This window comes from Homo sapiens, chromosome 2 (genome assembly GCF_000001405.40).
Source record: "Homo sapiens chromosome 2, GRCh38.p14 Primary Assembly".
Lineage (NCBI taxonomy): Eukaryota > Metazoa > Chordata > Mammalia > Primates > Hominidae > Homo > Homo sapiens.
This window is the reverse complement of record NC_000002.12, coordinates 40,519,789-40,534,693: the sequence shown is the minus strand read 5'-3', so window position 1 is coordinate 40,534,693 and position 14,905 is coordinate 40,519,789. Positions and strand designations below refer to the sequence as shown.

General features: G+C 35.5%; 1 long non-coding RNA gene across 5 annotated transcripts in view; it reads right to left on the bottom strand.

Moving 5' to 3' along the window:
• LOC101929667 (uncharacterized) overlaps positions 1-14,905 on the bottom strand; it is a 46,532-nt gene that overhangs the window by 23,760 nt on the left and 7,867 nt on the right. For all 5 annotated transcript variants that reach the window (XR_007086295.1, XR_939982.3, XR_244991.5 and 2 more), the window contains one exon: positions 1,436-1,505. This is a non-coding gene — a long non-coding RNA (uncharacterized LOC101929667). The remainder of the gene's footprint in view (positions 1-1,435; positions 1,506-14,905) is intronic.

The following is a 14,905-nucleotide window of genomic DNA, read 5'->3' as shown; positions in this document are numbered from 1 at the left end:
CTTCCTCTGTCAGATGTGGTTAAAATTTTACATGCAGGACGAAAAGACCAAAGAAAAGCAGAGTGATTTACTGAGCTTGCTTTCCCTCAGAAAACAGCCTCATTAGAGTAGTTTGTCGACAGTTCTTAACTCTCTCAAGATAAGCACTGGTTTGGAAAAATATATGTCTCCATGTAATGTCTGTGCATTAAAAAAAAAAGTGTACCTTTTTCCTGTGTTAATAAATAGCATAGATGTCATGTTTAATAGTTTATGGGCTTAGGTGGCTGTGATGAGTCTTCAGACATCCTAAAACATATTTAATAACATGGCATTTTTGCAGCCTTTGATTTTCCTTTGGTACCAATGGCTGAGTGAGTACTGAGAGCCACCCTGCCTTATCAGGCTCACCATTGCTACTCAACTATCCCAAATTAGTACCAGACTAACCTATCTTATTCAGTCTAGCTTTAACTAGCTTAACAGGATGCCTTCTTATTTATCAGTGTCTTTAAATCACCCTCAGAACAAAATGTTCCCTGGGGTTCAACTAGGCCACTGAGAGAGAATGCTCAGGTATTCCAACATTTTTCTCTCCACTCACTTACCCAGCAATTCCAATCAAAATATCTTTGAATTGCCTACCTTTATTTTAGCTCATCTCTTCAAGCTCTTTCTGTTACAATTCAATGAAACAAAGTGCAAAACAAAGAACTAACATGCAAAAAAAATTACTTTTCTTCATTGTACTTTATTTAGCATTAATGTCTCTGCCTGTTCTATAGAGATAGGCCCATGGACATAATCAGACCTAACTAGGCTGTCTGCATAGGAAGCTAGAATAAACATTAAATGATACATTAGTATAAATAATTAGTAAAGGCTTTCAACACTGATTTTATAGTCAATATCCAATGACAAATAATCTCATTAACTGCACAATAAGAATGAATTAAGGGAAATATCATTTCACAAATATTTACTTAGGAACTTATTTAAGAATAAGAATACTATGTTAGGTATATAAACAGATTATAAATTTCATAATAGCTGCAGTTCCTGAGGTCAGGAATATGCTAATTCAGTTAAAAAGGAGGATCTCCAGTTCCAATAGAAAGCAGAAATAATTGAATGCTGGGGTTTTTCTGTTTTGTTTGCTTTGTTTTGATTTTTTAAAATGAGTTATAGACTTAAATTATTTTTGTCTTCTCCTAGAGGGAGGTCCCTTTGTACCACACAAAGGCAAAAGAGTCTCAGTGGGGCTGTCTATTCTATTGTTCAGGGGCTCATAAATAGAAGCTTGAGCAGTATCCTTGCAAATAAAGAGAAAACATTCCTTGCAGATCATGGGACATGAGTTTGGAATGAAGTGGAGGCAAGAGAGCCTCTCATTTACCATGACACAAAAGGGCAAAATTAAACTCTGTGAGGCATTTTAAAAATTAGGTGAGTTTACCAAGATCATCTCCATGGTTTCTGCCAGGTCATTTAGATCCAAATTCACAATAATGACTTGATTATTTAATCTGAAATACAAAAATACATAATGCATATTATCAAATGTTTTAACAGTACCAACAATACATGAATTAAATGTTCCTATTATTTAAGGCTATTAGAATTTTTTAGGAGACTCCTGGATGCTATGTCTTGTGGTAACTACAAGGAATCTGGTTTCCGATGCTTTGGGCAGAATTTAAAATGCAAGTTATCATATAAGCACCACTAGCTGAAACCTGAGCACTTCATTCTGACCAGTGATTACACACCACTATATCTCTCTTCCTCCTCCTCCTCCTCTAAATATGTTTCATATTAGATTGAGTAGCTAACTTGGAAAGTAAGACATCCCTTTAGGAAAAACAAAAATGTTAGGTATGTTCTTCCAGAGAGTGCTAAGTGAGAACTCAATAGACTACTTGTCTCTGCAAACATGTGACTTTATGATTACTCCAGTATTCTATCATCATCAAATCTCATCAACCAGGAATATTAAATCTTATAGAAAACAGAAATCTTGATAATGTCATAACCCCTTCATTTAACACACCCAAAGTCAAAGTGCTGAGCTTGCTACATGGGCACTTTGGTTTTCTACCACTCCCTCCCATTACCCTAGGCTTCAGCGAAAGTAAACTCTTCACAGTTGCCAAACAGATTCTGTACCATGTTGCTTCTTGGGTATTACTCAAACTCTTCTGTCCACCTGGAATTTCTGCATTCGCTTTTACCATTCATTCACTCAGGAATTCAGGGCATGTGTATTTGTTACTTGACCCGTACCTGTCTAAATCCTACCCCTGCTTCAAGACCTAGAAGTCTTATTCAAAACAACGAAATTACCCCATGAAATCTTCATTTATCCTTCTGATCAGAACTGGTTTATTCATCCATCCATTCACTCACTTAAATAAATATTATATTAAAAACCTACTGTTGACTGGGCTTCGTGGCTTATGCCTGTAATCCCAGCACTTTGGGAGACCAAGGTGGGTGGATCACGAAGTCAGGAGTTCGAGACCAGCCTGGCCAACGTGGTAAAACCCTGTCTCTACTAAAAATACAAAAAATTAGCTGGGCATGGTGGTGCATGCCTTGTAATCCCAGATCCTCCAGAGGCTGAGCCAGGAGAATCGCTTGAACCCAGGAGGTGGAGGTTGCAGTGAGCTGAGATCCTACTGTGTACTCAGTCCTAGTCATACAAGCGATTGTATTGTATTGCATTGTATTGTATTATCTATCCAGATGCTTACTGAAACTAGAAATCCATGGGGCAAGCATAGAACCACCCTCTCTCAATCTCTTACATTTAATGCATCAACTCTCAAATTTCTTTATTAAATATATCTAGGATCCATGGACTTCTTTTTACCTCTGCTGCCATGATCTTAAGCCATAATCAACCAAGATATCTTCAGAATTGTTCAATAAAATGCTAACCTTTCTCCTGTATCTTTCATTAAGACAAAAGCATGAATGATCCTCTCAAAATGTAAATCTCATCATATTGTGCCTTTGCTTAAAATGCTTCATTGACACAGTCCTAAACAAAGTAATCTAAGAAGGTTCTTCTGAGAACTTTATGTCTAAAATGAGACCCACAAGATTTACAAATGCTAGCTATTCAAAGAACTAGGGAAAAATCAGTGACATCATCAACAGAGTGAAAAAGCAAACCACAGAATTGGAGAATGTATTTATATCATTGGGCTTATTACAGAATTAAAATAATAATAAAAGGCACAATTGTCAGCTCCTCCACAACAGAGAGTTGAAGAATAACAAGTAACAAGGAACATAGCAAGATCCCAGTTTAAAGGATGCCCAATCTAAATAGAAGGATAGGATGCAGAAAAAACATAATGCCCAGTGTTAGGAAATAGGACTGGATCTCGCCAAGGACTGGTGATCCAAGCAGCACCAATCAGTGGACTGAGAAGCTCAGTGTTTTAAATGTGTAAAGCTTCCATCTAAGAATGCCAGCAAAGTTGAAGGGTTCCACTTCATCCAGACACTTCGGTGCTTAATCATAGAGTAGAAGAAAATGACTTCAGAGTTTACTAGCTAGTACGCCACTGGGATAAAATAAAACTTGTTTTCTTAAAAATGAGTGCAGGTATTGGAAGATGATATATGTTGTTAGAATCAAGGCACGCAGTCATGGAAGATGAGATCACAATCTCACATATTACAAAGAAGCTACATTTTAGACCCACTCATGTTAATATATAAATGAAATGATGCTTCATTTGCCATTTTGTGCCTTGTCCCTAGCTCCATGCCTGCAATCTTTAATGACTGTTTTCAAGTACCCTTGCTTTTGGGTTGTCTATAAGAGCAGGATATAGATGAGGGTGTTTGTGTAGCCCTGCAAAATTAGGGCTATGGTTATGTAGCCATCAATCTGTGGAGACCTCGCAGAAAAGAGAAAGATGTGATTAAATGTCATTCAGTCAGTCTGAAGGAGAAAGGCCAGATAGAAAAGCACATAGGTTGACATGAGGGAAAATCGAAAGTCAGAAGAAGAATCAAAGAAAAGTTTGGAAGTTTATCTCCATAAATATTCACTGTAGACAACAGAGGCAGGAGAAGCCTACTCTCTACAACATGCTTAGATTTGTAAGAGAATGAGCCAAGTCAGGAAAGTACCAGCCTTGGAACTATATTAAATTCATACAGCTTTGTCAATAGAGCTATCTCTCTCGTGAAATTTAAAAAATGGTATATTATCTACGGTCTCTGGCTGAGGAAATTTAGCAGTAAAACATGCACTGAAAATTATGTCTTAAAAAGGTTAATTGAGTTTTGGTGTTAAGGTTTAGAGGTAAAATTAATCTAATTAAAAGGGACCAAAAAGGCAATGGCTCTCAACCCTGGTGGCACAAAGAAAAATTTTGAATGCCTTGACCATTTCTCCAAAATTCTGATTTAATTGACCTAGGGAGGGTGTCTGAACATAGTCCTACTCCTCCCTTCCTTCATTTTTTACTTCCTTTCTTCTTCTCTCTCTTTCTGCAGCTATTTGGATGTGAGGTGATAAGGGCCTGAAATAGAATAGTAGCAATCAAAATGGAGAATAAATTTACATAAAGAGACATTGTTAAGGGAAAAAAATGACAGCTATCTTGACTAATAAAACCTAGCTGAACTTAGGAAAAAAATCTTTCACACATCAATGAAAACTACCGTCTTACAAGGCTAGCGGTCTATTTTTCTGTTAGAGAAAAGAGAGACAATGATGGTTAACAGTAAATTAACCAAAATATTTACTAAATCACAAATTAGTATCAATAACAACAGAAAGCCCCCTCCTACCTCAAATTTCTCACTTACTTGTTTGAAAAAACCTTCTGGCTCCCCATTGGCTCTGGTAAATTCTAATCCCCTTAAGCTGTCATGTAGAGCTTTTCTTTTATTTTTTTATTATACTTTAAGTTCTGAGATACATATGCAGAACCTGCAGGTTTGTTATATAGGTATACATGTGCCATGGTGATTTGCTGCACCCATCAACCCCTCATCTACATTAGGTATTTCTCCTAATGAAATCCCTTCCCTTACCCCCTACCCCCCAACAGGCCCCAGTGTGTGATGTTCCACTCCCTGTATCCATGTGTTCTCATTGTTCAACTCCCACTTATGAGTGACAACATGTTGTGTTTGGTTTTCTGTTCCTGTGTTAGTTTGCTGAGAACGATGGTTTCCAGCTTCATCCATGTCCCTGCCAAGGGCATGAACTAATCCTTTTTTATGGCTGCATAGTATTCCATTGTGTTTATGTGCCACATTTTCTTTGTCCAGTCTATCATTGTTGGGCATTTAGGTTGGTTCCAAATCTTTGCTATCATCAGAGTGAACAGGCAACCTACAGAATGGGAGAAAATGTTTGCAATCTATCCATCTGACAAAGGACTAATATCCAGAATCTACAAGGAATTTAAACAAATTTATAAGAAAAAAACAAACAACCCCATCAAAAAGTGGGCAAAGAATATGAACAGACAATTCTCAAAAGAAGACATTTTTGTGGCCAACAAACATATGAAAAAAAGCTCATCATCACTGGTCATTACACAAATATAAGTCAAAACCATGATGAGATAGCATCTCACACCAGTCAGAATGGCAGTCATTAAAAAGTCAGGAAACAACAGATGCTGGAGAGGATGTGGAGAAATTGGAACACTTTTACACCGTTGGTGGAAGTGTAAATTAGTTCAGCCGTTGTGGAAGATGGTGTGGTGGTTCCTCAAGGATCTAGAACCAGAAATGCCATTTGACTCCAGCAATCCAATTACTGGTATATACCCAAAGGATTATAAATCATTCTACTATAAAGACACATAACTGGATGGAATATCAACGCAGAGGAAATTTAACCTTGATCGAAATGTTTTTAGCCGAACAATAAATGTGGAGATTTACTATTGTTGATGATGATGTCATTATGAATTCATACATTAGAAATGTAACTCAAGTGAAAAGTGAACTTATATAGGATTCATTTGGAATGAATAGGAAAATATATTGAGATGAATGGGAAAATAAGCCTATATCGGATTCATTTGGAATACATTGGAAAAATCAGAGCAGAAACTCTTTCCAAGAAAGAGACAATGGACATCATGGGAACAGTGTTGTGAGAAAAAAAAATTCTACTGGATTCAAGAGATATTTGTAATGAGCTTACGGAATTTGTGGTGACTTAAATACTTGGTGGGTAGAGAAGGAATGAATGTCACTGAACTTTCCAGTTTGAGAGACTGAAAGAGTGGCACCACCATTTATAATGAATGAATCAATGAGACAATGAGAAATGGTTTGATTGGGAGAGAGTTAGGAAGTTTAGATTAGGATTTGTTTTACTTGAGGTCACTGCAGTAGTTCCTGGAGAAAAGGTCAAATACAGTGAGAAATGTAGAGTACAGAAGGAAGAGTGTTGTAAAGAGAAACAAAGATTTAAAACTTCAAAGCTTATTCATCGTAGTTGTGATCATGAAAATTAATGAAATAAGGGCAGAGAAAGAAATAGAAAAGAAGCTAGAATAGATGTTGAGTTTTGTACCTGACACCTAGTTGATCTTCGAGTCAGATATTAAAATTGAAAGCACAGGCCTATATTTTTAGAAGAAAGCCATAAGAAAGCTTGTGGACCTGTAATTTGTAGATTAACTGTATTTTTAAATAATGACATAGATTTTGCCACATTTAACAAAAAATGTTATCTAAGGAGTTAATTGAAGTAAACTGACAATTCTTAACTTTCTGTGGAATTCAGCCTTGAATGTTAGCATCCAAAAATGTGAGGATTAAAACATTTTATTGAAACTCTAATTAGTTTGAGGTAATTAATAAAATTTTAAGGTAATTAATAAAAATAATAAATATAATAGTTAATAATAAATTTTAAGGTAATGACTAAAATCATTCCAGTGGAAATGATTACCAAATCCCAAGGTCTATTAAATTTTAAGTATGATAGGGTTGGTTATAATATTGATGCTTTCACAATCTTTCTGACTTGACACAAAATCCACAGCTATGTCCAGGAATTCTCATATTTTTAATTTATTTTTATTTATTTTTTTGAGACAAGGCCTCACTATATTGCCAAGTCTGGTCTCCAGTACCTAGGTTCAAGTGATCCTCCTACCTCAGCCTCCTGAGTAACTGGGACTACAGGTGCATGCCACAGTGCCAGACTTCTCAATTTTTTTTAATCCCTGGATTGAAAATCGAAACATAGTACAACATAATGCTAAAAAGCTAAAAAGCTTGTAAATATTTTTTTTTTGAGACAGAGTCTTGCTCTGTTGCCCAGGCTGGAGTGCGATGGCACAATCTCGGCTAACTGCAACCTCTGCCTCCCAGGTTCAAGCAATTCTTCTGCCTCAGCCTCCTGAGTAGCTGGGATTACAGGCGTGCACCACCACGCCCAGCTAATTTTTTATTTTTTTGGTTTTTTTAATTTTTTTAGTAGAGACAGAGTTTCACCATGTTGGTCAGGCTGGTCTCGAACTCCTGACCTCATGTTCCACCCACCTAGGCCTCCCAAAGTTCTGGGATTACAGGTGTGAGCCACCGTGCCTGGCCAATAATTTTTAACTTAAACTTCTGAATAGCTCCTATTATGCTCAAATTTATATATCATCCTTTAAAGTTGCAATCCATTTTGTTTGTTTGTTTGTTTTGTTTATATTTTCTCATTTGTCTTCTTCCTGGGAATACTTATCAAATCTAATGCTAACTAAAGGGATGAGGCATTTGATTCCCCCAGCCATAGGGCAAACACAACTAGTTTTACGTGTACTTTGTGGTAGAAAAATGAGTAAGTACTTCTGAAGACATAGTTGGTTGAAACTTCTCCTTCCAAAAAGATGGAATAGACATACGTTTCCCTATTTCTCACACTAAGTACAACTAAAAACCCAAGACACTATACAAAAATGAACATAAAACTCTGAGAAGTAGAGAGAAGAAAGCGGGCTAGTAAGGGGGTCTTAAAACCCATAAATGACATGATAATGAGTTCCCTTTCATCCTCTTTATATCATATATCCCAGACTTAAAGCCAGAGATAAGAAGAAAAAAAAAGAAAAAGCCCAAACACAAGTCTGCTGTCTTTGGCCAAAGGACAAATAAAGGAGTTGAATGGAAAGACAGAGAAATTTTAGACAATAACTTCTTACTTCAGCTGACTAGCACCTCAACAAATGCCAACAAAGGCCAAGTAGAACACTTAGACTTCCATCGTCCCCAGTCTGTCATGAGGGTCCCATAACATCTGCCAAGGTGCTGCCAGAGAAGACTGAGTAAGGAGTTGGGACCTTCATAGTCACCACCTACAACCATCTCATGCCCCAGTGAGGGTCAATGGAGAGAGACCACTTGGAGAGCCTGGATTTCCACACCCATCAAGTAGTATGAGCCATCCCTACTTCTCCTCACTAGGGTGATTGTGGAGGCATAGAGAGAGGCAGAACTTTCACCATTGTCCAATGGTAATGGTGTTACTTCTCCCTCTTGGTGTCATGGATACCATAGGGGAAGCATTTAGTACAATGAGTCACTATAACTTCTCCCACTAGGGAGTATCAGTGGAGGCCTAGTGGAGAGCCAACTCTCTTACCTACAATCAGCGATAATGAAGACCCATTCCTCTGGTGTCAATGGAGGTCTAGTAGAGAACCTTGTCATTAACTCCCACTTGGTAATAATTAGCCAGCAATTCCCCATCCCCACCAGCATCGTGTCAGAGGAATCAAGTTAATACAGAGATTTATGTGAGATTCAGTGTTATAATATAAAGCTCAAACTGTACATATTTCTGTCAAAAATTACTTATCATATCAAGAACTAGGAAGATCTCTGAATAAGTGAAGAAAAGACAATCCAAGATGCAAGCTATGAGAAGACAAATATATTAGGATAATCGACCAAATATCTAATGCAACCATTATGAAAACATTTCAATGAGCAATTACAAACATGCTTGAAACAAATGAAACCATGCAAAGTCTCAGCAAAAATATAAAAGATATAAAGAAGAAAAATGAAAAGTTTAGAGTTGAAAAATATTATAATGTAAGAAGCTTAATGGATGAGCTTAACAGCAGAATGGAGGAGGCAAAGGGAAAATTAGTAAATTAGAAGGTAATTAGAAGAAAAATATAAAAATTACCAAATTTACACAACAAAGAGAAAACAGGCTGGAAAACAGTATACCCTTATGGATATGTGGAACTATAATCTGACTTTGGGTCATTGACGACTCAGAAGGAGAGGAGAAAAAGGATGATGCTGAGAAATTAGAAATAGAAGAAATAATGGCTGAAAACTGCCCAAATTTGACAAAAGATGTAAATCTACAGTTCAAGAAGCTGAATGAATCCCAAACAGGATAATCTCTCACACATACACAAAAAAAGCTACATAGTGAAACTTCTGAAAACTAAAGGAAAAGAAAAAAATCTCAACAGTTGTGAGAAAGAAATAATACTTTTCTTTCTAAGGAAAAAACAACTTGAATGACAGTGGATTTCTCACCAGAAACTATGGAAGACAGAAAGAAGTGGCAGATAATTTTTAAAGTGATATAGAAAATAATCTCTTAAGCCAGGATTCTATACCTAGTGAAAATATCTTTCAGAAATGAACAGGAAATTAATATATGTGTAGACTAAAACAAACAAACAAACAAAAAAAAACAGAGGCAATGCTTGCTGGTAGACGTCTCCTAAAAGAACAGCTAAATGATGTTCTTTAAACAGAAAGGAAATAGTTTTGTTTTTTTTTTTAAAAAAAAGGAATGTTCAAATATCAGGAAAGAGGGAAGAACATGGTAAACAAAACTACAAGTAAATTCAATACAATTTTATTCTCCTCTTCTGTTTTCTAAATTATGTTTTATAATTGAAGTAAAAATTATAAAACTACCTGGTATTATTTTAAATCTATGTAGAAAAAAATACTTAAGATAATTGTAATATAAATGTGGGAGTGTAAAAAGATATAAAGAAAGGTAGAGCTTCCAAATTTCACTCAAACAAACAAAATGATGACACTGGTAGACTGTTATAAGTTATCTATACATAATATATAGTAACACCTAAAATAATCATGAAGACAACAATACAAAGAGATATATTCAAAACATTAAAGATAAATAAAAATTGAATTTTTAGAAAGTTTCATAAATGTAAAGGAAAGCAGAAAAAACAGTAAATGAAAAACAAAGAAAACAAATGGAAAACAACAAAAAAAGAGAAACTCAACTCTAGCATATTAATACTTGCATTAATGGCGTAAATGTTCTAAATACATCAATTAAAAGCCAGAGATTGGCAGAGGTGATTAAAAGACATGATCCTGTCTACAAGAAACTCACTTCAAATGCAACAATATAGGAAAGTTAAAAGAAATGAGGGGAAAATACACATCATGCAAGCATTACTCAAAAAAAGCAAGTGTGGCTATAATTATTGCAGATGCAGTAGGCTTCAAAGCAAAGCAAAGCAGCAGAGACAGAGAATGACAAGGGTCAATCAACCAAGAAAATATTGCAATCCTAAATGTGTATCTTAGAATTGAAACAAGAAATAGACAAATCAAGAACTACAGTTAGAGACTTCAACACTCGTCTCAAAAACTGATGGAATAACTGGATATATTATCAGCAAAGAGATAGGACTTAAAAATACCACCAAGAAAGAGAATCAATTCCTTGAAAAACACAAATTACCACAATTTATCTGATACAAAACAGATCACTTGAATAACTCTCTAACTACTAATAAAGTTGAATATGTAGTTTTAAAATTCCTCCCCCAAACCATCTCCAGGCACAGATGGTTTCACTGGAAAATTCAACAAAATGTTTAAAGAAAAATTCACACCGATTCTATACAATGTCTGCCATAAAATAGAAGAAGATGAACGCTTCCAATTAATATTTTGAAGCTAATTCACCTTAAGTCTCACAACTTCTGCAAAAATTAACTCAAAATAGACCATAAACTTAAATGTAAAACATAACAATATAAAAGTTTTAGAAAAAAATACGAACAATCTTCAGGGTTTAGAGCGAGGCAAAGGTTTTTCTTAATTAAGCACCAAAAATAATCCATAAATGATAAAATTGGTGAATTTTTATAAAAATTTAAAACTAATCCTCTGTGAAAGTCTCTTAAATAAATAAAAAGGTAATCTATAGACAGGAGAAAATATTTACAAGTAATATACCTTTCAAAGGACTAATATCTGAAAACTCAAAATCAACAGTTTGAAAAATCTAATTAAAATATGGGCGAAAAAATTGACATTTGATCAAAGAGCATATGGCAAATAAGCACATAAAAAGTTGATCAAGTATTAGCCACTGGAGGAATGCACATTAAAACCACAATGAGAGATATACTAACCAGAATAGCTTGTAACCAAATGATTACAAGGTTATAGGAAAACTGGATCAATCATATGTTGCTGCTTGGAATGTAAAATTATATAGGCACTCTAGAAGACAGGAAGTTTCTTAAAATATTAAACATGCTGCCACCATATGACCCAGCAGCTATAATCCTGGACATTTATCCTAGAGAAATGAAAAGTTTATGTTTACATAAAAACCTTACACAGATGTCCACAGTAGTTTTATGTGTGATAGCTAGACAGTGAAAACAACTCAGATGTTCTTCAACAGGTGAATGGTTAAACAAACTATGGCATATCCCATGTAATGGAATACTACCAACAACAACGTGGAAATTTCCAAAAATAAGAATTACAGCAAAAATTGAGAAGACAATGTAACCCTATAATCTGGACGCTGAAGGTGCTTGATAAAAGCATGTCTATGGAAGCTTAAACTGGCAGAGATGTGTACTATATCCTGGAAATAGGATAATTCTTAAAATTAGTTGTCCATTGTAAAAGTGGAGGCTGATGTGATAATTGCCGCATTATTTCCCCAGGTGATCCCGAAAACAGCTCTGGGGTCTGACCACGTGTGCCTTTTTTAGTTGTTTTGTTTTTTGTTTGTTTGCTTCCTTTTTCCTTTTTTTTTTTTTTTTTAATTTGTACAAATTTAAGGAGTACATGTGCAGTTTTCTTACATGAATAAATCACATAGTAGTGAAGCCTGGGCTTTTAGTGCATTAATCACCCGAATAATGCACATTGTACCCATCAAGTAATTTCTCATCTCCCACCCCTTCCCACCCTCCCGCCCTCCCAAATCTCCAATGTCTATCATTCCCCATTCTATGTTCATGTGTACACATTTTAAGCTCTCACTTATAAGTGAGAATACGCGGCATTTGAATTCTTGTTTCTGCATTGATTGTTTTGCTGAAAATAGTGGCCTCCAGTTTGATTCATCCTTTCACTTCACTTGTAAAGTAGACAAATGGTAAGTTTTGGCCAAAATAAATCCTTACTTAGATTGGCCTTGTCAGCTAATACTTTCATCATTTTCTCTGGATTGAGCGGGATTCCTGGTTGTAACTTCCTTTAGTTAGATTATCCAAGCTTTTTTGGAACAATATAGACAAGTAAAATTTGTAGAAATACGTTAGTGAACAGAGAAAAGATATGCTTAGCTTAGCAAACTCTTTAATGAAAAGCTTCTTGCTTCCAGTTTTAGGGATCTACAGCTTTCACCTGTGCACCAGATGTGTTGACAGCCTTATAAAACATCTCTTCCTTATAATTTTTGGACTGGGGAAGATCAAATTTCAGGCCTTGATACTTACAGCAAGTACTAATATTTCTGCTGTTTATGAAACAGATTTCTCTAACTCATGACTTATCTTAAAGATAAATGGGGAAAAAGGAAAAGTTAACAGCTATGGGAAAAAATGAGTATGCTGTCTTTTGAAAAATTCACTGGCTTACCATATATTCATAGGTAAATCATTTTACTTCTCTGACTCTGTATTCTAATTTGTAAATGAAAATAAGATTTGGTGAAAAAATTAAACAGCAAAAATGCAACCACTCTGAAGACTTCAAAACGTAAAAATAAGGACATGTTTATGCTTTATTTAAATATAACTCAGCAAAATTTAATTGATTAGCTAAAGCATACCAAGGAATATCCTAAGCATTAAGATCTAATACATTTTTTATGCCTTGAGATCACACCATATGTAAAACCTGCTATGGGTTATAAAAGAAATTCAGGCTAAAGACCAACTTCTGGCATGACAATATCTGGAGCTCCACTGACTCCAATGAAACTGATAAAAAATATGTTTTTAAAGTCCTCTTGAAAATTGTGCTAAAGGCAGACAGCAAATGAAGAAACATCAATTCAAAGAAATTTCTAAAAATTCAGTAAGAAAGGCGAGTCCGTGATACTTGAACACAGAAAGTCCCATCTCTCCCCCTACCCAGCTCAGCAGGGTAGAGCCTCCCCATTCCAGACTTCTGGAGCCAAGAATACAGGGATTCTACCATTCCCACTCTCCACCTAGAGGGATTTATTCTTAGGAGGAGCGGTACTTCAGTGTTTCTCATCCTACCTCCAAGTGCCTATTGCTGAGGCTAAGACCTGGGTAAATACGGTCAAGAATAGCAGTTCCCTTTCTCTGCTCAATCCCCACTCATGGAATATACAGTCCACCTGTTGAGAATACTGAGATCCTTATAGCCCCTGCCCCAGAACTTGAAGTGATAATTGTTCTACAACTGGAGAGCTAAACTAAGTGACCTCAGGCTGCGCAGATCTCCCTCCCTGCATCAAGTTCTCAGTTGCTGAAACAAGAATGTCACTCAAAGAGAATCTTGTCAATGTCCCAACTCTTAGCTCTAGGGCCTTAACCCAGAGATTTTGCCTGGTAGGAGAAACAGGACACAAAATGATGACTCTAAATTCTTCCCAAAGGATCTGACTTTATTTTCAACGAAACATGAAGAAGCTGAAGCCAAAGGACAATCTCAAGAACAGGGAAGGTTACAGTGAAAAAATATTAGGAAGAGTTTTAGGATCTGATAAAGATACAGCCTAGTTTGTAGGCCAACTAGTTTGCAGGAGAAAACCGGGCAATCTGACAACTTGAAGGAATGCTCCTGAGGTCAAAAGAAATACTAAACAAATCATTAAAAAGAGCCAAATGAAAATTCTGGAGCAGAAAACTATAATAACTGAAATAAAACATTTATTAGAATTAATCTTAGATTTGAACTGGAGGAAGAAAGAATTAGTGAACTTAAAAATAGACTGATAGAAGTTAGGCAAGCTGAAGAACAGACAGAAAAAAGAATGAGGAAAAATGAATAGATACTCAGAGAAATATGGAATACCATTAAGTGCATCAATATACATATAATGGGATTATCAGAATAAAAGAGAGAAAGGAAAAAAAACATATTTAAAGATATAGTGGCTGAAACTTCTTACATTTATTGACAATAATTACAACGAACTTCAAGTAGGGTAAACACAAACAGACTCACAGACACATGATGTAAAAATGCTAAAAGTGAAAGATGATGGTAACTCTTCAAAGTCATAAGAGAAAAACAGTGTGCTACTTTTTAAAAATAAGGCAAAATAAAGACTTTAACAGATAAACAGAAGGTGAGGAAATGTGTTTCTAGCAAACTCACCTGGTAAGTAATACTGTAAGAAATTCTTCAGCCTAAAAGCAATTGACACCAGATTGCCATGTGGAGTCACACAAACAAACAAAGAGAATCAGCAAAAGTCATTATGCAAGTATAAAAGACACTATAAATGAATATTTTTCCTTTCTTCTCCTGATGGATTTAAAGAGAAATTGTAAAAACTTTCATATATTTTTTATATATAATGTGCTATTTGTAATATATGCGTAATATATTTGCTGATAATAGCACAAAGGCGGTAGGGAGAGTAAAGCTGTAATGGGCTAAGAAAATGACTACATATGGTAGAATAATAATTATA